At 43.2% G+C, this 24,160-nt stretch overlaps 1 protein-coding gene across 1 annotated transcript in view, besides 1 other annotated feature; it reads left to right on the forward strand.

Moving 5' to 3' along the window:
- The window catches only part of ACCSL (1-aminocyclopropane-1-carboxylate synthase homolog (inactive) like), a 138,910-nt gene that overhangs the window by 33,133 nt on the left and 81,617 nt on the right, over positions 1–24,160 (forward strand). Inside the window, exon 4 of the mRNA XM_047426927.1 lies at positions 17,243–17,388. Within this exon, the coding sequence (XP_047282883.1) occupies positions 17,382–17,388 (7 nt within the window). The 5' untranslated portion in view covers positions 17,243–17,381. The remainder of the gene's footprint in view (positions 1–17,242; positions 17,389–24,160) is intronic.
- Positions 1,376–1,602: a silencer, noted in NCBI's record as "fragment chr11:43977126-43977352 (GRCh37/hg19 assembly coordinates)". NCBI's record gives its function as "represses an EF-1alpha promoter that drives an FKBP-Casp9 reporter gene in an ReSE screen in K562 erythroleukemia cells {active_cell/tissue: K562}" and the evidence as "EXISTENCE:reporter gene assay evidence [ECO:0000049][PMID:32094911]".

A 24,160-nucleotide genomic window follows, 5' to 3' on the forward strand; every position in this document is an offset into this window, starting at 1 on the left:
TATGGGATGAAGTATCATACCGAAGCGGCCTCATTGTTTGGAGTGATACCTGAGGTTTGTTGTCTCACGCCGAGGAAATCAAGGACACAGACACACAAGGAGTGAGGTTGAGAGCGGAGGTTTAATAGGCAAAAGAAAGAGAAGAGCTTTCTCCTGCAGAGAGAGGGGTCCCAAGCGGGTTTTCTGGTCTGCAGCAAAATGGGGGCGGGGTTATAGATGAGCTTGAGGAGGCGGTGTCTGATTTATATAAGGCACAAAAGATTGGTCAGACCAGGTGTGCCATTTGCATAGAGCGAGAAAATCTGGCCTCCCTTACCCTAATCTTTTATTATGCAGATGGGTTCTCTACCTGGCTGGTGCCATGTTGGCTGTTTCTTTTCTTTCTTTCTTTTTTTTTTTTTGAGGTGGAATTTTGCTCTTGTTGCCCAGGCTGGAGTGCAATGGTGCTATCTCGGCTCACTGCAACCTCCGCCTTTCAGGTTCAAGTGATTCTCCTGCCTCAGCCTCCTGAGTAGCTAGGATTACAGGCATGCGCCACCACACCCGGCTAATTTTGTATTTTTTAGTAGAGACGGGGTTTCTCCACGTTGGTCAGGCTGGTCTCGAACTCTCCATCTCAAGTGATCCACCTGCCTCAGCCTCCCAAAGTGCTGGAATTACAGGCGTGAGCCACCGTGCCCGGCCCTGTATCTTTACTGTACATGTGGTGACAAAGAAAAGGAAAGAGGGAGCCTCCAGCTGCCGGCATTCACCTGTGCAAGCTTCCAGCTTGCTTATCTGCAGCTTGATTTTTCAGATTGCTCTTTGTTAGGAAAGAAATGATTTTGGGGGCTGCTTTTGTTAAAAGGGAAATTCTGCTGAGAACTCTGTTGCTCTTACTATCTGCCTAAATAATTTCTTTCTGTCTCCTGTATCAACATAAATAGCTGGTAGCGAGTCAGGTGACTACAGTGAAGACTGCTAATGGTCCACAAAAGTCAATTTTCTGCACCTCCCTTGGCACAAAGCTAGACTAAACCCCTCAGCCTCCTTCCTTTGCAACCAGCGTGGTCATGGACTGTCTTATTCCATTTGTGCTCCTATAACTAAATACCCTAGACTAGTAATTTATAAAGAGCAGAAATTTATTTCTTACCATTCTGGAGTCTGGGAAGTCTAAAGTCAAAGTGGCTGCAGGATTGGTGTGACAACTGTTACCACCCAGTGGGATCTTCCTGACCACTGCACAGACGAGACCAATTCAGAGATCACAGCCTGATAAAGAGTTTAATTGATATGAGGCTGGCCACACCACGTGGAAGATGGAGTTATTACTCAAACCAATCTCCCTGAAAATCTGGAAGCTAGGGTTTTCTAAGGATAGTTGGGTGGGCCACGGAGTCTACTTCTGGTTGGGGCCACAGGACTGGTGGGTGGGGTTCAGTGGGTCTGGGTGAAGGTGAGTCGGGTGGAGCTACTGGTCATCAGAAATGCAAAAACTTGAAAAGACATCTCAAAAGGCCAATCTTTGGTTTTACAATAGTGACATTATCTGCAGGAGTAATTGGGGGAGTTGCAAATCTTGTTACCTCTGGAATAATGGCTGACAATTTTTTATGTCTACACCTTAGCACAATTCAAGCTCCTCTTCCTCCTAGCCTGGTGGGCTTTCATTAGCCTTAGTCATTGCTGAGCTGAGGCCAAGCTAACTCCCAAAATTAGCTTGGCCTCGGCTCAGGAATGACTAAGGGCAGTCTGGAGGTTAAAGGTGGTAAAAGAAAAACTTCAGCTGAATTAAATTTAAAGGAGTTTAATTGAGCAATGAATGATTCATGAATTGATTGGGCAGCCTCCAGAATCACAGAAGATTCAGAGACTCCTGTGCAGCCACATGATGAAAGAAGATTTATAGAAAAAAAAAAAAAAAAGGAAATGAGGTACAGAAATCGGAAGTGAGGTACAGAAACAACTGGAGTCTTTACAGCTCAGCGTTTGCCTTATTTGAACACAGTTCGAACAGTTGGCTACAAACAGTTGGCTACGTTTGGCCAAAACTCAGTGATTTGCACAGGTGTGGGCTACGGTTGGTTTACACCTCCACTTGCTATAGTTCACAATGTACAGAAAAACCTTTAGGCTGAACTTAAATATGTAAGGAGGCTGCTTTAGGCTAAACTTGATTAACAAAGGCAAGAGGGGGTTGATTAGATCAGGTCTCTTTCTGTCATAATTTTCTCACTGCTACAATTTTTTTTTTTGAGATGGAGTCTCGCTCTGTTGCCCAGGCTGGGGTGCAATGGCATGATCTCAGCTCACTGCAACCTCAGCCTCCTGGGTTCAAGTGATTCTCCTGCCTCAGCCTCCCTAGTAGCTGGGACTATAGGCACGTGCCACCACACCCGGCTAATTTTTTGTATTTTCAGTAGAGACAGGGCTTCACTGTGTTAGCCAGGCTGGTCTCAATCTCCTGACCTTGTGATCTGCCCACCTTGGCCTCCCAAAGTGTTGGGATTACAGGTGTGAGCCACTGCACCCAGCCTACAATTTTTGTAAAGGTGGTTTCACAACCAAAATGAGTGACTGAGACAATTGACTGTTTCAATCAATTGAGGTTTATTGAGCCAGCTTGAGGGCATGCCTGGGAAAAATGCGAGTCACAGATGCATCTGTGGCTGTTTTTTTCCCAAAGAGCCTCCCAGGTGGTTTAGTATTTATACATTTTTCTTAAAAGAGGGGTGGGGCACAGCAGTGAGGTGAATGGTTTCCTACATGTGAGACTTAGTGCCCAGTGAATCTATATTTTACATAAGATAAGGTGAAGGTTTGAAGAAAAACGGGATAGAGGCAGCAGAACATCTCAGGGAGGGCGAAGGAACAATCCATCTTGTAAACCAAAAAGTATCTGAGATAGGTCTTGATGAATTTAGAGGTTTACTTTTGCCAAGGTTAAGGACCATGGCCATTGATACAGCCTCAGGAGAGCCTGAGAACATGTCTCCAAGGTGGTTGGGTTACAGCTTGGCTTTATACATTTTAGGGAGACAGAAGTTACAAGCAAAAACATAAATCAATGCATGGAAAGTATCCATTAGTTCAGTCCAGAAAGTTAGGATATCTCAAAGTGGGGTGGGGTGGGAGGAGGGGGGTTCCAGGTCACAGGTGGATTCAAAGATTTCCTGATTGGTAATTGGTTAAAAGAGTTAAGCTTTGCCTGAAGAGTCTGAAGTCAATATAAAGAAATGCTTAAGATAGGGGTTGTGGAAGCCAAGGTGCTTATGATGTAGATGAATCCTCTAGGTAGCAGGCTTCAGAGGGAATAGATGGTAAATGCCTCTTATCAGACCTTAAAAGGCGTCAGACTCTCTGGAAAAGACCTAGGAAGGGAAGGAGATTCTCTATAGATGCAAATTTCCACAACATCAGACAGTTTGCAGGGCCATTTCAAAATATGACAAAGAACTATATTTTGGAATAAAATACTTTGATTTCCTTCAGGCCCTGCTCTCTGTCATGTGATTCTATACCAGAGTCAGGTTGGAATTTGGTATCTTACTGCTACAAAGAGTGTTTTGTCAGTCTTATGATCTGTTTTCATGTTAATGCTGGTCAGTTGTGCCTAAGCTCCAAAGGGAGGGGGTGTAACAAGGCATGTGTGACCGCCCCCCCAACAACTTCCCGTCATGGCCGGAACTAGTTTTTCAGGTTTCTTTGGAATCCCCTTGGTCAAGCGGGGGGTCCAGTGGAAACTGCCTTTGCAAAAATCATAACTGAGAAAATTATGGCAGTAAAAGATATCAGACCTAACTGACCCATCTTGCTTCTAACCTCTGAACTGTCCTTGTTCATTCCTGGGCATAGGCCAAATTAGCTTTGGAAAGGAATTTAGTGTATAGTTTATATAATAGCCCTTCCCAAAAGGCTAAATTGTTCTTGTAAAACAAATGAAAGGCCACCAGCCACCAGGTCAAGATGAGAGGGGCTGGAATTCTAAATTTTACCAGCGATTATTCAGGAGGTCATAAGATTTGCAACTTCCCTAATTACTCTTGAAGGTAACATCACTATTGTGAACCTAAGATGGGCCTTTTGGGATGTCTTTTCAGGTTTTTCATTTCTCACAACCAGATGGCCCCACCTGGACCTGCCAACTGGTTCTATGGCCCCCACCCAGGAACTGACTCAGCAGAAGAGAACAGCTTCGACTCCCTATGAGTTCATCCTCAAGCCAACCAATCAGCACTCCTGATTCACTGGCCCCCTACCCACCAAATTATCCTGAAAGACTCTGATCCCCAAGTTTTCAGGGAGACTGATTTGAGAGGTGATAAAACTCTGGTCTCCTGCACAGCTGCCTCTGCATGAATTACTCTTTCTCTATTGCAATTCCCCTGTCTTGATAAATTGACTCTGTCTAGGCAGCAGGCAATGTGAACCCCTTGGGCAGTTACACATTCAGTCTATCGGAGGGCTTACAATTTTATTTTTGGTTTACAATCTCATCTTTGTTCTGCACCTGGGAGGATAAGCTGGTGATTGGCATCATCAGTGTGGAGTCTTTTGAAAAAGCAGGTTTCTGTTCAGCCCTTAGGGAAGAAAGTCTAAGGCAGTTTTCAACCTCCTATCCTGTCATGGCCATGAACTCAGCTTCCAGGCTTTCTCTGAGGTGCCCTTGGCCAACAGGGGGTCAACTGGGGGCTTAGAATTTTATTTGGGTTTCTCAAGTATCTGGTGAGGTCTGTTTTCTGCTTCCAAGATGGCGTCCTGTTGCTCCATCCTTTGGAGGGGATGAACACATGGCAGAAGGTAGAAGGGCAGAAAAGGGCCCAAGCTAGTTCCCTCCAGCCCTTTTATAAGGCACTAATCCATCCATGAAGGTGGAGCCCTCATGATTTAATCAATTCAATTCCCAAAGGCCTCCCCTTTTCATACCACCACAGTGGGCATTACATGTCAATGTGAATTTTGGAGAAGACACAATCAAACCACAGCACGCGCCTAGGTTCTCCCCAGTGGAATGGGCGAGCCGGCGATGCACACCACACTGGCCTAGGCCTGCAGACTGTGAGCATGTTGCTCCCATGTGCTTGTTCTTGCCAAAAGACAGAACAGGGCCATATCCATGGCCTGACGTTGACCAAGCAGGAGGAAATGCCTAGAGATCCTCATGACATTGAGCTGCCTGTGGATGTGGAATGTGGCCTCAAGATGGACTGCTAGCTGCGAGAGAAATTAACTTCTGCCTTCCTTCCAAACCAGTGCATTCCTGCTGGGTCTCTTGATTATAGCAGTTGGAATTAGCCTAACTGATGCAAAGCCATTTCCCTCAGTCTACGTCCAACCAGGAGGATGTTCCCTGTCAGCAGTGGGGGATGGGGAGTGATGCAAGAGACACAGGAAGAGTCCTGGGCTGGGACTGGGCGGTGGCAGACCCTAGCCCTGGCTCTACTCTGCCCTTGCTGTCTTGCTTTCAACAAACAATTTCCCCTCTCCTTCCCTGAGGGCCCTCCCAGCTTTAAGTCCTGGTAAACCTATCCTAGAATCCTGGCCCTCAGGGAGATTCAGGCAGGCAGGGTTTGTAGAGACCAGGCATTCAGCCTCCTTCATGCATGAATGGGGAAACAGAGGCAGAACCTTCTCTGAGACCACAGCACCCCCACCCCATTCCTCTTCCCGCACTTGGGGAGAGTCCCAGAAGCTCTGGGCTGGACTGTGGTGTGCTGAATAATTCACGCCAGACTCAAAATAACAGCCTGAGCCCCAACCCACAGGAGGCTTGGGACCCCCTTCAATGTGCCGCTGCCCCACAGCCCTGCTCCGGCCCCCACCAGGAGCTTTTTGGGACCAGCTGGGTGGTTTTTAGGTAAACTCTGACCTCCCTTCTGGTCTTCTAGGGGGCATTCGGACAGTGCTACCCACTTCCACCATTGCCCAGGATGTGTGAGACATTCCAGGAGAGGCTGGCACCCAGGAGACTGCTATCCCTAGCCCCATGTACCATAACACCCATCTTATTGTCTGTCATATGTGTTCTGAGGTTTATCAATTAGCTGTCTTTAGTCTGCCATGGAATGCCAACCCCATAGAAAGTGGCTGAGTCCACTGAACTTGTTTTGGGCCATTCCTTTTTCCTTTAATTTATTTTTATAGATATTTAAGGCTATGGCTTTTCCTCCAAGTACTGCTTTCACTATATTTGATTTTTACTGCCTTTTTCGTTTGTTTGTTTGGAGACAGAGTCTCACTCTGTCACCCAGGCTGGAGTGCGGTGGCATTATCTCAGCTCACTGCAACCTCTGCCTCATGGTTTCAAGTGATTCTCCTCAGCCTCCCGAGTAGCTGGAATTACAGGCGTGCACTACCATGCCTGGCTAATTTTTGTATTTTTAGCAGAGATGAGGTTTCACCATGTTGGCCAGGCTGGTCTCGAACTCCTGACCTCAAGTGATCTGCTCACCTCGGCCTCCCAAAGTGCTGGGCTTACAGGCATGAGCTATCATGCCCAGCCTGTTTTTTACTGCTTTAAAGCAATACTGCAGTTTGTCTTTCCTCTTTGACCCAAAAGTTGTTTAAATGCTAGTTGTAATTTTTCCAAGTGGAGAAATATATTTCTATTCTGATCTAGTTTTTTTGTGTGTTTGTTTTTTGTTTTCTTCCTTGAGATGGAGGTTCGCTCTTGTCACCCAGGCTGGAGTGCAGAGGCACGATCTTGGCTCACTGCAACCTCCGCTTCCTGGGTTCAAGCGATTCTCCTGCCTCAGCCTCCCAAGTAGCTGGGATTACAGGTGCCTGCCACCACACTTGGTGATTTTTTTTGTATTTTTAGTAGAGATGGGGTTATGCCATGTTGGGCAGGCCAGTCTCGAACTCCTGACTTCAGGTGATCCTCCCGCCTCGGCCTTCCAAAGCGCTGGGATTACAGGCGTGAGCCACCGCGCCTGGCTTCTGACCTAGTTTTTAATTTATTTTTCTTTAATTTCATTGTGGCCAGATGTTTTCTATAGTACCTTTTATCTTTTTGGGACATTGTTGAGATTATTCTTTGTGACTGAAAATTTCATGGCCACATGAAGATATGGTGTGCTTACTCTTTTCCTGTGTCAAGTCTGCCCAATAAATTATATTATTAAATATTAATGGCCTCTGTATCTGTGATACAGACTAATAGTCACTGCAATCTCTTCTCCTATTTTTCCCGGGGACAAGATTAAATTATATTTACCAACCCTTCTTATCGATTGATGGGCCCATGAGACTCAGTTCTCTCCAATGGAATATGAGTAAAAATATGTGTGCTATTTCTAGACCTAGGTCTGTGACGTAAAGATGCCTCTTCTGCATTTCCTACCTTCTTCCTACCAGCAGCAACCCAGATAGGGTGTGGTTCAGCTGCTACCATGCTAATGGGGACACAGCCCACAGAGGTGGACTGAACATTTAGATGGGACCCACCTGCCTGGAATGCTTACCTCTTTCTACCACATGAGAAAGAAGGAAACTTCTTTCTTTGGTCATATTGTTTTGTTCTCTCTCTCTCTCTTTCTCTTTCTCTCTCTCTCTCCTCTCTCCTCTTTCTGATGCAGGAAAATAGGCTCTGGAGGTAGAGAACATAAGGCCGATTCACACTTCAGCTATAACAGGAAATATCCTCTCCATAGGGCATACACTGAGTAAATGACTTTGTAACTTTACTTCATCCTCTTTATTTACATAGGGCGTACCCCAAGTAGAGGGTATTTAAACTCACTAGAACTCTGTAACAGGGCCTTTGAGCCCCTATGCTCAGGGCTGCTCCCACACTGTGGAGTGTACTTTCTTTTTCAATAAGTTCTTTCATCCCTTCTTACTTTGTGCATTTTGTCCCATTCTTTGTTCAAGATGCCCAGAACATGGACACCTTCCACCTGTAACATCTCTCCCCCTCCCTCTCTCCCTCCCTCTCTGTCATTCTCTGAGTCAACAATCTTTGCCCTAAGAAATATAAAAATTGGTACTAAGAGTGAGGCGCTGCCATAATGGAAACCTAGTTGTCAGGCAGCAGGCAGCAGGAGGACAGATATCATAGGCTGGAAATCTACGGACTCTTGGACAAATAATAGGTGAAATTCTCTCCTGCAATAGCCAGAAAGGGAGATCTTGTACCTTCCAAGGCTGTAAGTAAAAGAGAATTTGGGAAGAGCTGAAAGGTTAGTGAGTATTGGCTGTTCCTTGTTCCTTTTAGGAAGGTATGCAAAGAAAAGAGATGACGTTCGCAAGGACTGGCCAGATTTCAAACAGAGATGAAAGGAAAAGGCAAGTGTCTAGAGCAGCAGGGGCTTCTGTAACCCAAACAGCAGAACAGACAGCTGTGGCTCCGAGTCTTTCTCAAACACTATCCAATTAAGCAAAACATCTATCCAAAGGATCCAGCCCCAAGGCAAAGATTAGACTAAGGGCATTGCTTCTCTTTTACGCCTATTATTCAACATTTCTCAAAATAGCTGTCGTTAATGCAAGGAAAAAAGGCGTGGCTAAACCAGGAAGCAAAGAAATGAAGCAGGCTTGAGAAATATGTAAGAAAATAGCATCCTGGCTCATGAAATGACTGGAAGCAAATAGACTTGAAAGCTAATAAATCTTTCTGGGAATTGTTTTTTCCAGAGAAACCGTAAAAGCCTGTAACTGCTTAGCGTCACCAGATAGCCCTCAAGGAAGATGCATTTTCTGACACCCACTTCAGATGAGGATAATAGACAAGGGAGAATTATCCTGGCAGGGGAAGATGTTCTGCCTGCTCCGGTTTTGCCCAGGGACCACTCTGTATTGCCTGTGTTCTCTCTTCTGATCGGGGGTATCTATTGTGGCTTTCCTTTCCATATTCCTCCATTGTCTATTTGGCAAATGGGTGGGACAAATGAATTGTCTTTTAGCTTGAACACATCTGAGCCTGTGGAGAGGTCTATGCATCAGATACACAGGGCACAGTAACTGGATGGACGTTGGTTTGTGCCCCATGGAGAAGGGTTGAGTGTGTTCTATTCATAGTGAAATAAGCACGCCTAGCTATGTCGTGGCTGGAGGGATGGGCTATGGCAGAGATTAATAGTGATCCCCTAAAATCTGTTCTCTCCCTTTTTCACGGCATGAAGCTAGACAATTGACAGCCCACCCAACTCTGTGCCTTGGGTTTACCCAGTGACAAGCTTTCTCCAGTTATATGTGAGTGCAAGTAATATTTGTCACTCTGGATCCAGGCCCAAGATCGTGGGCATGCCAGCTCACAATCTCTTCTCCCTTCTCTCAGAGGGAGCAACTTGGATATGGTGGTAACTTGGCTTCTACAGAGCAGATGATAACATGGCCCCAGAGGATGTTAAAACTTGGGTCTCTGAACTACTGAATGAAGCAAAGCTGTCTGCTCTTCTGAATTGTTACAAGAGAGAAAGATAGAGTTGTGTTTTCTCTCAGGCATTGTGGTGTATGTCTCTTGTGCTACAGCAGAACTGCCTCACCCTAACTACGTATTATTCTTGCTTTACTGTTCCTGTGATCCCCCATGCGAAGTGAATTCAAGTATCTTACCATATATATGCTTTTATTTTCCCTGCATTGCTATAATGAATGCCTGGTGAATGTGACAACTAGGTTATCTGTTGCATAGATATTTATAATAGCTATACCTGCATTTAATTTGAGTGACACTATGATATATTACATAACTCCTTGCCAATGTACTTAATGCTTTTTGGCCAGAATTGTATCTTGTTGGATAATCAAATCATGACATTTATTTTTTTATTTGCCTGGTATGCCATTGCTCATCTTTTACTTTCCAACCTCTTGAGTTTGCATTAGGTGTGTCTCCTGCACACAGTATAGAGTTGGATTTTATTTTGAGATTTAATCTGAAAATATTAAAAAAAAAACAATTAATTATAGATATATAACAAGTAAAGAGGTTGAATCAGTAATAGAAAACTTCCCGTGAAAGAAAAGCCTAGGGCTGTGGCCAGGCGCGGTGGCTCATGCCTGTAATCCCAGCACTTTGGGAGCTGAGGTGGGCGGATCATGAGGTCAAGAGATCGAGACCATCCTGGCTAACACGGTGAAACCCCGTCTCTACTAAAAATACAAAAAATTAGCCAGTGGTGGGCACCTGTAGTCCCAGCTACTCAGGAGGGTGAGGCAGGAGAATCACTTGAACCTGGGAGGCAGAGGTGGCAGTGAGCCCAGATCACGCCACTGTGCTCCAGCCTGGGTGACGGAGTGAGACATTGTCTCAAAAAAAAAAAAAAAAAGAAAGAAATGTCTAGGGCCAGGTGGTTGTTTCACTGATAGATTTCTGAAATCACTGATGATTTCCACCAAACATTTTAAGAAGAATTAACATCAGTACACCTCAAAATCATTCAAAAAATAGAAAAGGAGGGAACACTTTCCGACTCATTCTATGAGGCCAGCATTAACCTGATACCAAAGCCAAAGACACCAAAAGACTACAGAACAATATTCCTATAGATCTAGATACAAAAATCCTCAAGAAAATACTAGCAAACAAGTCCAAAAGCATATTAAAAAGGATTATACACCATGACTGATGGGATTTATTCCAGGATGCAAGGGTGATTCAGTGTAAGAAAATCAACCAAGGTAATACACCACGTTAAGACAACAAAGGGTAAAAAAACACAGGAACTTCTTAATTGATGCAGAAAAAGCATTTGACAAAACCTAACACATTTTCATCAGAAAAACACTCAGGAAACTAGGAATAAAAGGAAACTTCCTCAACCAGGTAAAGGACATTTATGAAATACCCGTAGCTAACATCAAACTCAATGAATGGCTGAAACTTTCCCTCTAAGATCAGGAACAAGACAAGGATGCCTGCTTTTGCCATTGCTATTTAACGTTGTACTGGAAGTTCTAGCCAGAGCAATTAGGCAAGAAAAAGAAATAAAAAGCATCCAAATTGGAAAGGAAGAAGTAAAACTGTCTCTGTTCACAGAGGACATGATCCTATATGTAGAAAATCCTAAAGAAACAACAACAACAAAAACTCTTAGAGCTATTAATAACAAACAAATTCAGAAATTTTGCAAGGTATAATATCAACATACAAAAAGCAGTTGAATTTCTATATAATAACAATGAACAATCTGAAAGGGAAATTAAGCAAACAATTCCATTTATTAATAGCACCAAAAAGAATAAAATACTTTGGAATAAATTTAACCAAGGTGGTTGTAAGACTTGTACACCGAAAACTACAAAACATTGCTGAAAGGAAATAAAGAACACCTGAGTAAATGGAACTATATCCCATATTCATGGATTGGGAGATTTACTATTGTTAAGATACAATACTCCTCAAATTGATCTATAGATTCAATATAATCCCTATAAAAATACCAATGACCTTTTAAAAACTTTTTTTGCAGAAGTGGAAAAGCTGATCCTATAATTCATGTAGAATTGCAAGGCACCCTGAATAGATAAAACAATCTCGAAAAATAATAAAATTGGAAGGCACACTTCCCAATTTCAGAATCTACTACAAAGCTACAGTAATCAAAACAATGTGGTACTAGGATAAACATGTAGATCATGAACAGAATTGCGAGTTCATAAATAAACCCATACATCTATAGTCAATTGTTTTTCTGATGAGGGTATCAAGACCATTTAATGGGTAAAAACTGGTTTCTTCAACAAATGATGCTGTGACAGCTGTATATCCACATGCATTTTTGTATATGTCTATGGTGTGGGCCTTGCCTCACACCATAAACAAAAATTAATTCAAAATGGTTCAAAGATCTAAATATAAGAGCTAAAGCCGTAAAACTCCTGCAAGAAGACATAAGGGTAAGTCTTCACGACCTTGGATTTGTCAATGGTTTCTTAGATATAACAACAAATGCTCAAGCAACTAAAGAAAAAAATAGATAAATAGATAAATTGCACTTCATCAAAATTGAAAATTTTGGTTGGGCACAGTGGCTCATGCCTGTAATCCCAGCACTTTGGGAGGCCAAGGCGGGCAGATCACCTGAGGTCAGGAGTTCAAGACCAGCGTGGCCAACATGGTAAAACCCTGTCTCTACTAAAAATACAAAAATTAGCTGGGCATAGTGGTGCATGCCTGTAATACCAGCTACTTGGAAGGCTGAAATGGGAGAATCACTTAAACCTGGGAAGCAGAGGTTGCAGTCAGCTGAGATCGTGCCACTGCACTCCAGCCTGGGCAACAGAGGGAGACTCTGTCTCAAAAAAAAAAAAAAGAAAAAAAAATTAAAAGCTTTCATGTATAGAGGAGCATTATAAAAATAGTGAAAAAAAAACCCACAAAATGGGAGAAAATATTTGCAAATCATATATCTGGTAAGAGTCTAGTATTTAGAATATGTAAAGAACTCTTACAACTCAACAACAGAAAGACAAATAACCCAATTAAAAAATGTGCAAAGGATTTGACTGACATTTATCCAAAGAAGATATATAAATGGCTTAAATAGCCTGTGAGTTTTGTGCCACTCTTTGGTATTGAATATTGCTGGGACTAGTCCTTTTATGAGTGACTTGATTTTTTTTTCTTTTTTGGCCTGGCTACTCATCTGATAATTTTATTAGGAGGCTTGGATTTGACTGTTCTAGGACAACTTTCCCTGGCACATCTATCACCTTTTAGTTAGATTCACATCTTTGGTTTCAAGAAAGTTACCTTCTATTTCTAAAAATTTATCGAATTTTATTGTTTTGTTTTTCTTCTTTAGAGATTCCCATTATGTATATGCTGTCTCTCTTTTGCCTTTTCTTCCATATTTATCATTTTCTCTCTAGTTAACAAATCCACTTTCTTCATTCTATCTCATTATATTCACTTTTCTATTTCTATCCTCCATTTCCATTATAGTGCTAAGTTCTCCTTCCAAATGCATCTTCATTTCTGAAATTGTTTTGTTTGTTCTTGTACTACTTCCCTCAGTTCTTCCAGTTCTTCTTCTTCTTCTTTTTTTTTTTTTTTTTTTTTTTTTTTGAGATGGAGTTTCGCTCTTGTCGCCCAGGCTGGAGTGCAATGGCGCAATCTTGGCTCACTGCAACCTCTGCCTCCCAGGTTCAAGTGATTCTCCTGCCTCAGCCTCCCGAGTAGCTGGGATTACAGGCACCTGTCACCATGCCCAGATAATTTTTTGTATTTTTAATAGAGACGGGGTTTCACCATGTTGGCAGGTCTGGTCTCAAACTCCCGACCTCAGGTGATCCACCTGCCTCAGCCTCCCAAAGTGCTGCAATTACAGGCGTGAACCACCACGCCCGGCCTCAGTTCTTCCAGTTCTCACTTCATCTCCCCCCATAGTCTTTCTCTCCCATTTCTTTGCTGATTTGTTTTATATCCATTTTTTGGCCTTCCTTCACAGAGGTAATCGTTTTATGAAGATTTATTAATCCACAGAACACCGTTTGGTCAGGTTTTTGATCCATTCCATGATAACATTTTTTTTTCTCAGCAGCATTCTCTGTCTACCAGGTTTTACTGACCTTTACCACACTTTGCCTTTAGTATCTTTGTATTGATTCTGTGCTGACTCAAGTTATAAAATTATAAGCCATTGAACGAGTTGGATTTTCATGCCCAGCTATTGGTAGAAGTTTCTTTCAGGGAATGGAATTTTGCCAGCACTTTCTGAGATCTGCTGCCACTGGGTATCATGCTATTTTCTCTACACATATGTTGCCTCACCCACTCCAGCCAATCACAAAAAGGCTTCTCCATCTCTACTCCATGCTCCTCAAATCTGTAACTTGTGTTATATACCAGGGATCTCGGTTTATTATTATTTTAGAGCAGTGGTTCTCAACCAGGGGCAATTTTGCCCCTCTGAGGATATTTGGCAATGTCTGGAGACATTTTTGGTTGTCATACTTTGGGGTGGGGGTTGATGCTACTGGCATCTAGTAAGTAGAACCCGGGGATGCTGCCAGACACCCTACAATGCATAGGACACCCCCACAACAAAGAATTATCTAGCCCCAAATGTCAATAGTGCCAAGGTGAAGGAACTCTGCTTTAGGGTGAGACCCTTTAGGGTGAAAGTATTTTTGCTAGAGGTTTTTTGAAATCAGCCACTCCCAAGCTGACTCACTATTCAGCATCCCCCTGAGCCCCAGTCCCCTACCCACGACCCCACACCCACACAGCCCTTTGCCCCCCAACCCCCGCAAGCAATCTCTGTGCACTTCACCTTCATGGCTTTTGTGTGAAACCTTTGCTTTTGCCCGTCTTTATGTGTTGTTGAGTTTGTGGTTTATATAATGGAGTTTGCATTATTTTTCTGCTTACCTTTTTGCTTTTTGAACATCCAGGAAAAGAAGAAGATATTTGCTGCCACTTGCTTTTACTTTCATTCCAAAATCTCTGGAGGGATACTATCATCTAAAACTTCAGCTTGAGATGTTTTAATTTAATCAGGGATTGTGAATTCAGGCTTCGAAACCACTGACAGCCCATCTGGGATTATGAATTCTCAGGGAAAATGCTTTTACCCTCAACTTAGTGCTGAGATTTCTTCGTAGATTTTTGTGGGGATGGCGAGTGGTGAGATTCACAACTAGTTTTTCCCTAACCTGACAATGGAGACCGCTGGAGCTTCAGCTTTGTGCAGGAAGTAGGATGGGGTCACCTATCTTGGGTGGGCTCTGGGAAATGACTCCTGTGTCTCGCATCTCTATCAGCCCATGAGAAACAGAGCTTGGGCTCACATGATTCAGCAAACAGCCTCCAGGTCAAAGGCCCCTTCCTGCACTGCCTACTGCCCTTAGATTCCTACTTTCACTTACTTTTTGGCTTCTGGGTGTTCCATACTTTCTTGCCAGATTATTAAGTAATTTTTAAAAATTTCTTATTTGATGCTGGGCAGAGTGGCTCACACCTGTAATCTCAGCACTTTGGGATGCCAAGGAGGGCAGATCCCTTGAGGTCAGAAGTTCGAGCCCAGCCTGGGCAACATGGCAAAACCCCATCTCTACCAAAAAAACAAAAACAAAAACAAAAATTAGCCTGGCATGGTGGCAGGCGCCTGTAGTCTCAGCTACTCGGGAAGCTGAGGCAAGAGGATCACTTGAACCCAGGAGGTCAAGGCTGCAGTGAGCCATGATTACACCACTGCACTCCAGCCTAGGTGGCAGAGTGAGACCCTGCCCTGTCTCAAATAATAATAAAAAAATTTTTTAAACAATTTTCTTATTTTAAACAGCTTTTTAAGATGGGAATAATAACAGAGGTTATCTCAAAAATTTTTTACGAAGATTAGTGAGGTAGTATATGCAAATCACCCAGAACAGTGCTTGGCAGAGAGTAAGTTAGTAGAAACTAACTACATTGCTAGCTTCTCCCCTTCTCTTCTTCCCAGTCTCTTCTCCCCTCCTTCCTTTTTCCCTGTGGTGGGAGAGAATCCTGGGTCAGTGACTCCCGGGTTCCCAGGGAGCAGCCCAGCAAGCCCTGCTGACTTCGCAGAGCCTGCCAGGACCCCACCTCCTGCCCACACCCCAGCTTCCCACTTCCCTGGTGCTGGTCCCCAGGGCCCTGCCACTTAGCCTGACAGAGCTTTCTCTGTCTCCTCATGTTATTTCCTCCCTCACTGGAAACGGGCCAGAAATAATGTTTCTCACTGTCAGCACCCGTCCTCAGCCAGCCAGAAGCAACTGTCTGCAGAGAGGCACAACCCCCTGAGTGGGTTTCCAATTCTCCATCAGATCTCTCTCCCCTACATACACCTTGTCCCTGCTCCTCTCAAATAGGTATAGGGGGAGGGTTGGAGTTGTTCTGGATTTTTTTTTTCTTGGTAGCTTTTAATTTTTAAACGATTTCAGATTTAGGGCCAGGCTTGGTAGCTCAAGCTTGTAATCCCAGAACTTGGGAGACCGATGCAGAAGAATTGCTTGGGCCCAGGAGTTCGGGACCATCCTGGGCAACATAGTGAGATCTCATCTCTACAGAAAAATTAAAAAATGAGGTGGGAGGATCGCTCGAGTGATCCTCATTGTAATAAGTATTTTTTATTTTTGGAAACAGGGTTTTGCTCTGTCTCTCAGGCTGGAGTGCAGTAGTATGATCAGAGCTCCCTGCAGCCTCGACCTCCTGGGCTCACGTGATCCTCCCACCTCAGCCAGCCAAGTAGCTGGGACTACAGGTGCATGCCATCATGCCTGGCTAATTTTTTATTTTTGTAGAGACAAGGTTTCACCATGGTGCTCAGGTTGGTCTCAAACTCCCAGACTCAAGTGATCTGCCCACCTTGGCCTCCCAAAGTGCTGGGATTACAGACGTGGGCAACCATGCCTAGCCTGTAATAAATATTCTGAGAACATACGTCTCATTCCTCATCAAACTTCTACCTTTTACTTTTAGCAACCAACAACAATTCTTCTGAATCAGTTATTACTAAGATATTTGCCAATCTGTGAATTTTTTAAAAAACCCAACCATTTCTCTGCATGTTTTAGTTGGCATTCCAACATACTGAAGAATTTTCCTCCTCCCCATTTATTTATTTGTGCATTCATGTATTTATGTTGGTGTAGGCTCATGGGTTCCTGTTTTATGTAACACCTTATAATTATTACTATCATGAGTTATATTGAGGCTTAAGTTGTCCTGGACTCGGTCAGTGGGAGCCCAGTAGCATTTTAAGCACCTTTCCTGCATCTAAGAGCAGGGCCTATGTTTGTTTTGCTCACTGCCAATCCTAGTTGCTAGCACAATACCTAACATATTCTTAAAGAATGAATGAACCCTTCTATAGAAAGCTGCAATGATAGTGGTAACTTCCATAGATTTTCTGTAGGAAGTAGATGAGCTATTAGATGTTAAGTTCTTAGAAAACCAGTAATATGGCCAGGCCCAGTGGCTCACGTCTGTAATTTCAGCACTTTGGGAGGCCGAGGTGGGCAGATAACTTGAGGTCAGGAGTTCAAGACCAGCCTGGCCAACATGGTGAAACCCCACCTCTACTAAAAATACAAAAATTAGCCGGGCATGGTGGCACATGCCTATAGTCCCAGCTACTCAGGAGGCTGAGGCAGGAGAATGGCATTCCAGCCTGGGTGACAGAGCAAGACTCTGTCTCAAAAAAAAAAAAAAGAAAAGAAAAGAAAGCCAGTAACATTAGTAGCTAATATTTGTTCACCAGTTACTATGTGCCAGGTGCTGTTCTAAAACTTTTACATGTATTAATTCATCACACTGATGCTATGAGGTAAGTAATACTATTTCCTTATTTCACAGAAGAGGAAACTGAGGCTGAGAGGGAGGAAGTGTCTTGCCCAAGGTCCCCCAGGCAACAAGCAATGGAACCAGGATTTGAAACCAGGTCTGTCTGCTCCAGAGCCTGCGTTCTGACCACTGTGCCATATTGCTTCCTACTATGTCATGTGAGTGGGACAGATAAACTATTGAGTATAAAATAGGAAGGATTTTGATAGATCGAGGCTGGAAAGACATAGGAGGGGCCACCCTGAGGATGTCACACAGATGATGGAGTACTAGGTGTGAAGGTCCTGTCCCCCGAATTGTCCTCCCCACTCAGCTCCCTGGGCATCATCTCATTGACTCAAGCTGTCCTCTGCTAGTGAGGCCCTTCCAACTCCTGTGCTGCCTTCCACCAATCGTGCTGCCTCTACTCTCCCTCACTCTGCCAATAGCTCAGGGTCACAGACCTCACCAGTGCTCCCTGACAGTTAGCTCCTGACCACTGGTCCTTGACTTTCACTATTGACCTTCTTTTAGCACTTACAACTGGTACAATTTTATAGTTATTTATTAGTCATTTTATGTCTGTCTACCCTGATAGACTCTGAGCTCTGAGAAAACAGCATGTCTACTTTTGTCATCCTTACATCTCCTGGGTCTACCTGACATACAATGGGCACTCAATAAATACTTGTCAACTGCATAAGTGACTACAGACCTTCACTTTCTCCTCCATTCCTACATTGACTTTTCCCAAGAGTCCTGTAAGACAGTGTCCCCAACTATAAAGAATGAAGGTGCCATTGATGGTTCAGAGAAGGAAGGGGTCTGTTTCCAAAATCCCACACCAGGCAAGTGGCAGAGCTAGAACCTAGACCAGTGTTCACACCACCTTGGTGTACTCATGTCACCCACTGCCCCTCACTCAGTTTTTATTCCCAGCCCTATAGAAATAGCTCTGGGCTTCTGGAAACCCATGAAAGGGGACTCAGAGCGTAAATAGTTCTCAGGAAATTGAGGTATTTGGATTCCTAATACTGGTCTTAAAATTTATGTGATTGAGGTGTTGTTGGTGATTCATGCTGATACCAGGAGTGGCCTCAGAACTCATCTAAAAATGACAGCTATGCTTGGCTGCCCAGTCCTGCGGGTGACCAGAGGAGACCTTTCTGTGAAGACACTCATACCTCCCGGAAGGCTGGACCTGCCTGTAATAGTATGGTGTCAGGGCTAAACCCAGCAGATTAGGAGATGTGCTTTAAGGGACAGGTGATTTACAGCTGTCAGGAAAGGAGTTTCTGCGTTATGTTTACCAATAAGGCCAAGAAGAGGGTGAATGTCAATTAAAACAGAAGATCACTTATAACCCAAGCAATGACCCAGGGTCAGGAACGGGGCACCAGGAGCAAGTTTCTGTGTATCAGAGTCACAGAGAGAGGCTTGGGTTTGAGAGAGGTTGGGTTTGAGGCCTCACACCTGTAATCCTAGCACTTTGGGAGGCCGAGGCAGGAGGATCACTGGAGCCCAGGAGTTTGAGACCAGCTTGGGCAGGACAGTGAGACTCCATCTCTCTCTTTTTTTATAACAAAAAGAAATTTAAAAAGAAAGAATCACTGAGAGAGCTGGTTAAATGCAGATTCTTGGACCCTGCCTCAATAATGCAAAAACACAACTTCTATGATGAATTTTTATCTTTGGTAAGCATTTATCCATCCAAAGTGATGCTGATGTGCACAGGAGTTTGAGAAACAATGTTTTAGAGGAAAGACTACATAACATGACTTGGAATGAAGCACATCTAGTGCCAAATAAACAGGTGTGGATACAGGTTTTGTGAAATAATCCAACACTATTTTAGGCAAATAAGTAATTGTTGTGTAATATGTTCTGTGCACAAAATGATTTTGAGTGGTAGTTTTAGTGTGAGTGTTCTATTTATGGATTCCATATGCAAATACATCATGTATTTTTTAAATGCAGATGCTCTGTTCTTTGGTTTTGAGATATCTATCTATCTATCTATCTATCTATCTATCTATCTATCTATCTATCTATCTCCTGGAAAAGAAACCTTAGTACATGTAATAATAGTTTGCAAAGTCATACTGCTTAATCAAATACCATCCCCATCTTCTTACTGGTCTAACCAGTTACTTTGGCCTGCTCTCAACCCTTGTGGTGGGCTAGGGTAGCGTAATTTGATTGCATTAATATACAAGGGACCTTCCAGACCAGGAAAGAAAAAGAACCGTCTAATGAAGTGGAAAAGGTGGAAGAGCATAAGATGGTTTCAGTGGGTATTGGGCGAACCATTCTTAAATCTCCACTTAAAGAATGATGATTTGGGGGTAGAGCGGCTTAAGGATAATTCACTCCTCATGTTTATCCTGAAATAGGCAATGTTACAGAATTCTGTGTTTTTCATTTATTAAATGCAACCCCCAACTCTAGGACTTTTCATCTTAATCTTCCTCCTGTGGATATATAAGATCATTATAACATGAGGAATTTGGAAGAGCCAACGTACTAAGGTATTGAACTGATCCTTACCAGGATGAAAGCTCCTTTCTAGTGAATGTCACTAGCCTGTGATAGACAGAGAGCAAAGGCAGAGATCCTTGTCTCTTTTCTTCACTGTGGTGCTCCCAGCACTGAGAACAATGCTTGGCAAATGGTAAGTGTTTAATAAATATTTATGAATGACTGTCATGAGATTCCACAGGCAGGAAGAGACCTCAAGATATATACCTTTGAATTTAGAGTGAGAATCACATTGATGGGCTGATTTCTTGTGGTAGCCAGCTATATTCATGGACTATGACTGCTGTAATTCACAGTGTTGGCAGGATTGGTTCCTTCTGGAGCCTTTGAGGGAAAATTCACTCCACACCTCTTTCCTAGTTTCTGGGGTTTGCTAGCAATCCTTGGCATTCCTTGGCCTGTACACATATCACTCTTTATCTCTACCTTTATCTCCACTGGTCTTCTTTGTCTGTGTCTTCTCTTAAGACATTTGTCATTGGATTTAGGGCCCACCTGGATAATCTGAGATGATCTAATCTTGAGACCTTTAACTTAATTATATTTTCAAAGACCCCTTTTCTAAATAAGTTCACAGTCACAGGTTGCAGGTGGACATACCTTTTGCATGGAGACAGAGGAGCAGTGGCACCATTCAATCCCCAACACCAGCCTCCAAGATGGCCTTAAGGATCCCTGCATGCTGAAATTCAAACCTTTATATAGTCTGTTCTCACAGTGTGCAAGGGTTGATATGTGTTACCAGTAGAATACAGCCAGCTACTATGTAATGAGCAGCTCTATGGAGAGGTCCACGTGGTAGAAATGAAAACCTACGGCCAACAGCCACATGAGTAACCTTGGAAGCAGATCCTCCCACCCCAGACAAGCCTTTGGTTGACTACAGCCATGGCCAACATCTTGATTGCAATCTCATTTGAGACTCTGAGCCAGAATTTCCCAAAAGAGCAGCCCCCAAATTCCTGTAATACAGAGATCGAGAGATAATACATGTTTATTGTTTTAAGACACTAATTTTGGTGTAATTTGCTATGCAGCAATAAAGGAAAAATGGAGATTTTGGTACCAGGAGTGGGGTGTTATCATAAAAACTACCTAAAAATGTAGGAATGGCTTTGGAACTGGGTGGTGGGCAGAAGCTGGAAGGACTTTGAGGATAGTGTTAGTGACAATCTAAATGTTCTGAAAAAACTGTTTATAGAAGCATTGTACCTTTTGTGGAGGCTGCCAGTGAGGGAAAAAAAATGGAGGAGAGAAAATCCATATTATGTAGAGGCAAGAAGTTTATCAACACTGTTAAGTATGAAGAAGCAGGGACTTGATACATTTGATAATTCTAAGCCTCTCCGGATGCAAACAATGCTAAAAGTAAGAAATACATTTGAGCAAAGATCAAATCAAGGTACTGACTTTAAAAAAGGCTAAAAATGAGATATAAGATATGACTTCCAGATCTTTTGTTAAGATCTCAGAAACATTTAAGGAGGAGCCTCAGAATACTATTCATGCAGACAGAATGTCCTCTAATGTTTTGAGGTTGTGTCTGACAGATTTGCTCAATCAAATAATATAGCTACTAAGAAGCTCAAGGGTGTTGTCTCTCACCAGAAGCCCAAGACAGAGAAGGGTTTATCTCAGATTTGTGTGTGTGACTTTGTGTGATAGACAGTGTAAACCCTAAAAACATTCACAAGAGATCCAGACAGCTTTTAAGATGATTATATCAGCAAAAACATCACTACCTTGATCTGAAAAGGACAGAGAATGTACAAAATAAAAGAAGCATTTGGGCTGTCAAATTTATACAAAGCTACTGATCTTCAAACATGTGCTGCCTGCCATAAAAAAGAAAGGATGACTCAGAGGGTGGAACTAGAAGGTGTGGCCAAGAGCCATGGAGAATCACTTCTTGACAGGAGTAAGACCGAGTCTTAATCAAGGAACCTACAACATTTGCCCAGTCTGGATCTTAATTAATTAATTAATTAATTGCTATGCAGTGACTCCTTTGTGCCTCTCATTTTGCCTTTTTTGAACAGGACTGTCTATAGTTGTTATTCTATGCCTGTCCCATCATTGAATATAGTGTGTATAGGGGGCAAGATAACTTGTCTCTGTAGTTTATCAGTCTACAGATTGAGAAAAATGTATTCAAGCAGCTATACTTAAAGAACTACACCCTAGAAGCCTCATCTACACCTGGACTTGATTTAGATGATGAGATTCTGAACTTAAAGCTGATGTTGTAATGGGATGAGACTTTGGGAACCTTGGGAGGAAGTAAGTTTATCTTCTATGAGAGAGAGATACAAATCACAAGGGACAGAGGGCAGACTATGGTATCCAGCTCCACAGTATTCTCCGATAATCTCCATCTCCTGATATTCACATCCTCGTATCATTCCCTCTCACAGTGTGCCAGTGTTGGTCTTCTATGTATATGCATTCTACTTATATATCCCTTATTTTTATATTTGAATGTATATTTAAATCCTGAAAGAGTTAACAAAACTTCAAAGTCTAAGTATTTGTTAAGGTAATGAGAGCTGGTATAACAAACAGAGTTCCCTGGCATACACAATACAACTTTATTTCTGGCTCATAAAGTCAAAAACAGGTGTCCTGACTGGTGTGCCTTTCTTCATCAAGCAGTGATCCAGAGTTCCAGTTTCATCCTGAAGCTCTGCCATTTTCCATGCTGGAGTCTCCATTTTCTGTGGAAGGGGAAGGCACAGGAAGGGTCATCTGTAGATGTTTTCCTGGGCCCAGGCCTGGAAGGGGTGCCCTTCATTCCTGCTCATCTCCATTGGCCAGAACGTGTCACATGGACACACCAGACTACAAGAAAGGCTGGGAACAGAGGGCTAGTGTGTGCCCAACGAGAGCAGAAAACAAGTTCTGATGAACACATTATAGTGTCTCATAGGCACACACTTCTGTAATGTTTGAATATCTTGTATGAGTGAGTAGGTATTACTTTTATAAAAGTAAACATAAGTAAGACTGGGTAAATAATCGGTGGGCCAGATCCTTCTGATCCCATTAGGACCAGGACAGAGGTGCCTTGAATGGAAATGGCCTCTTGAAAGGCCAGTCCTCCCACTGTGTTCAGGCATTCCTAGCCTGTTATTCAGGCTATTGGACATTTTAGCCAGAGTGAGTCAGTTTCTCCATCCTCATGCAAAGGTGGAAACCAGACCCTGGGCTTTGGTGGCCCCATGAGCTTGCTGCCTCTCTGAGTGTGGTAGGTAGAATAATGGCTCTCCACTATGTCCTAATCCCTGGAACCTGTGAATAATATGTTACACTACATAGCAAGGGGGATTAGGCTGCAGATGGAATTAAGTTTGCTAATCCAGTGACCTTAAATTAAGGAGATTATCTGGGATTATCTGAGTGTCCAATGTAGTCACAAGGGTCTTTAAATGGGGATGAGAAGGTTGAAGAGTGAGAACCAAAGAGATGGCATGGTGAGAAAGAACTTAACCACCCATTGCTGGCTTTAAAGATGGTGAGAGGGGCCACAAGCCAAGGAATGCAGGGAGCTTTAGAAGCTGGAAAGAACAAGGAAACAGATTTTCTTCCTAGAGCCTCCAGAAGGAAATGCAACTCAGCTGACACCTTGTTTTTAGCCCAGTGAGACCCATTTCAGACTTCTGACCTCCTTCTGAACTCTAAAATCATAAATTTGTGTCATTTTGAGCCATTAAATTTGTGGTAATTTGTTCTAACAGCAATGGGAAACTAATGTACCAGGCATCCTGCCTAAAGATCCCACCTGGGTTGCCTGGAGACATCCCTCCCTCTGAATCTAATAGTAGCCTCTGGTGGTGGAGTCACACTGACCTGGGTTTGAATCCTGACCTCACCACCTACCAGCTGTGTGACCTTGAGCAAGTTAATCATCTCTCTGAGCCTCAGTTTCCTTATCTGTAAGATGGGACATCATGCTTGTACGTCATATAGAATATGCTTCCTACTTAATGGACAACCAACAAGTGACACAAGTGTTACCGGATGGGAAGAGTCCTTCCTCCTCTTGTCTCTAGGAAGCTCTTTTTTTTTTTTTTTTTTTTTTTTGAGATGGAGCCTCGCTCTATTGCCCAGGCTGGAGTGCAGTGGTACGATCTTGGCTCACTGCAACCTCCACCTCCCGGGTTCAAGTGATTCTCCTGCCTCAGCCTCCTGAGTAACTCGGATTACAGTCATCTGCCACCACGCCCAACTAATTTTGTATTTTTAGTAGAGACAGGGATTTCGTCATGTTGGCCAGGCTGGTCTCAAACTCCTGACCTCAAGTGATCCATCAGCTTTGGCCTCCCAAAGTGCTGGGATTACAGGCATGAGCCACTGTGCCTGGCCTCTAGGAAGCTCTTGCTCAAGCTGATCAAGGCTTTGGGCTGCCATTTTGTA

Source organism: Homo sapiens, chromosome 11 (assembly GCF_000001405.40).
Source record: "Homo sapiens chromosome 11, GRCh38.p14 Primary Assembly".
Classification (NCBI taxonomy): Eukaryota; Metazoa; Chordata; class Mammalia; order Primates; family Hominidae; genus Homo; species Homo sapiens.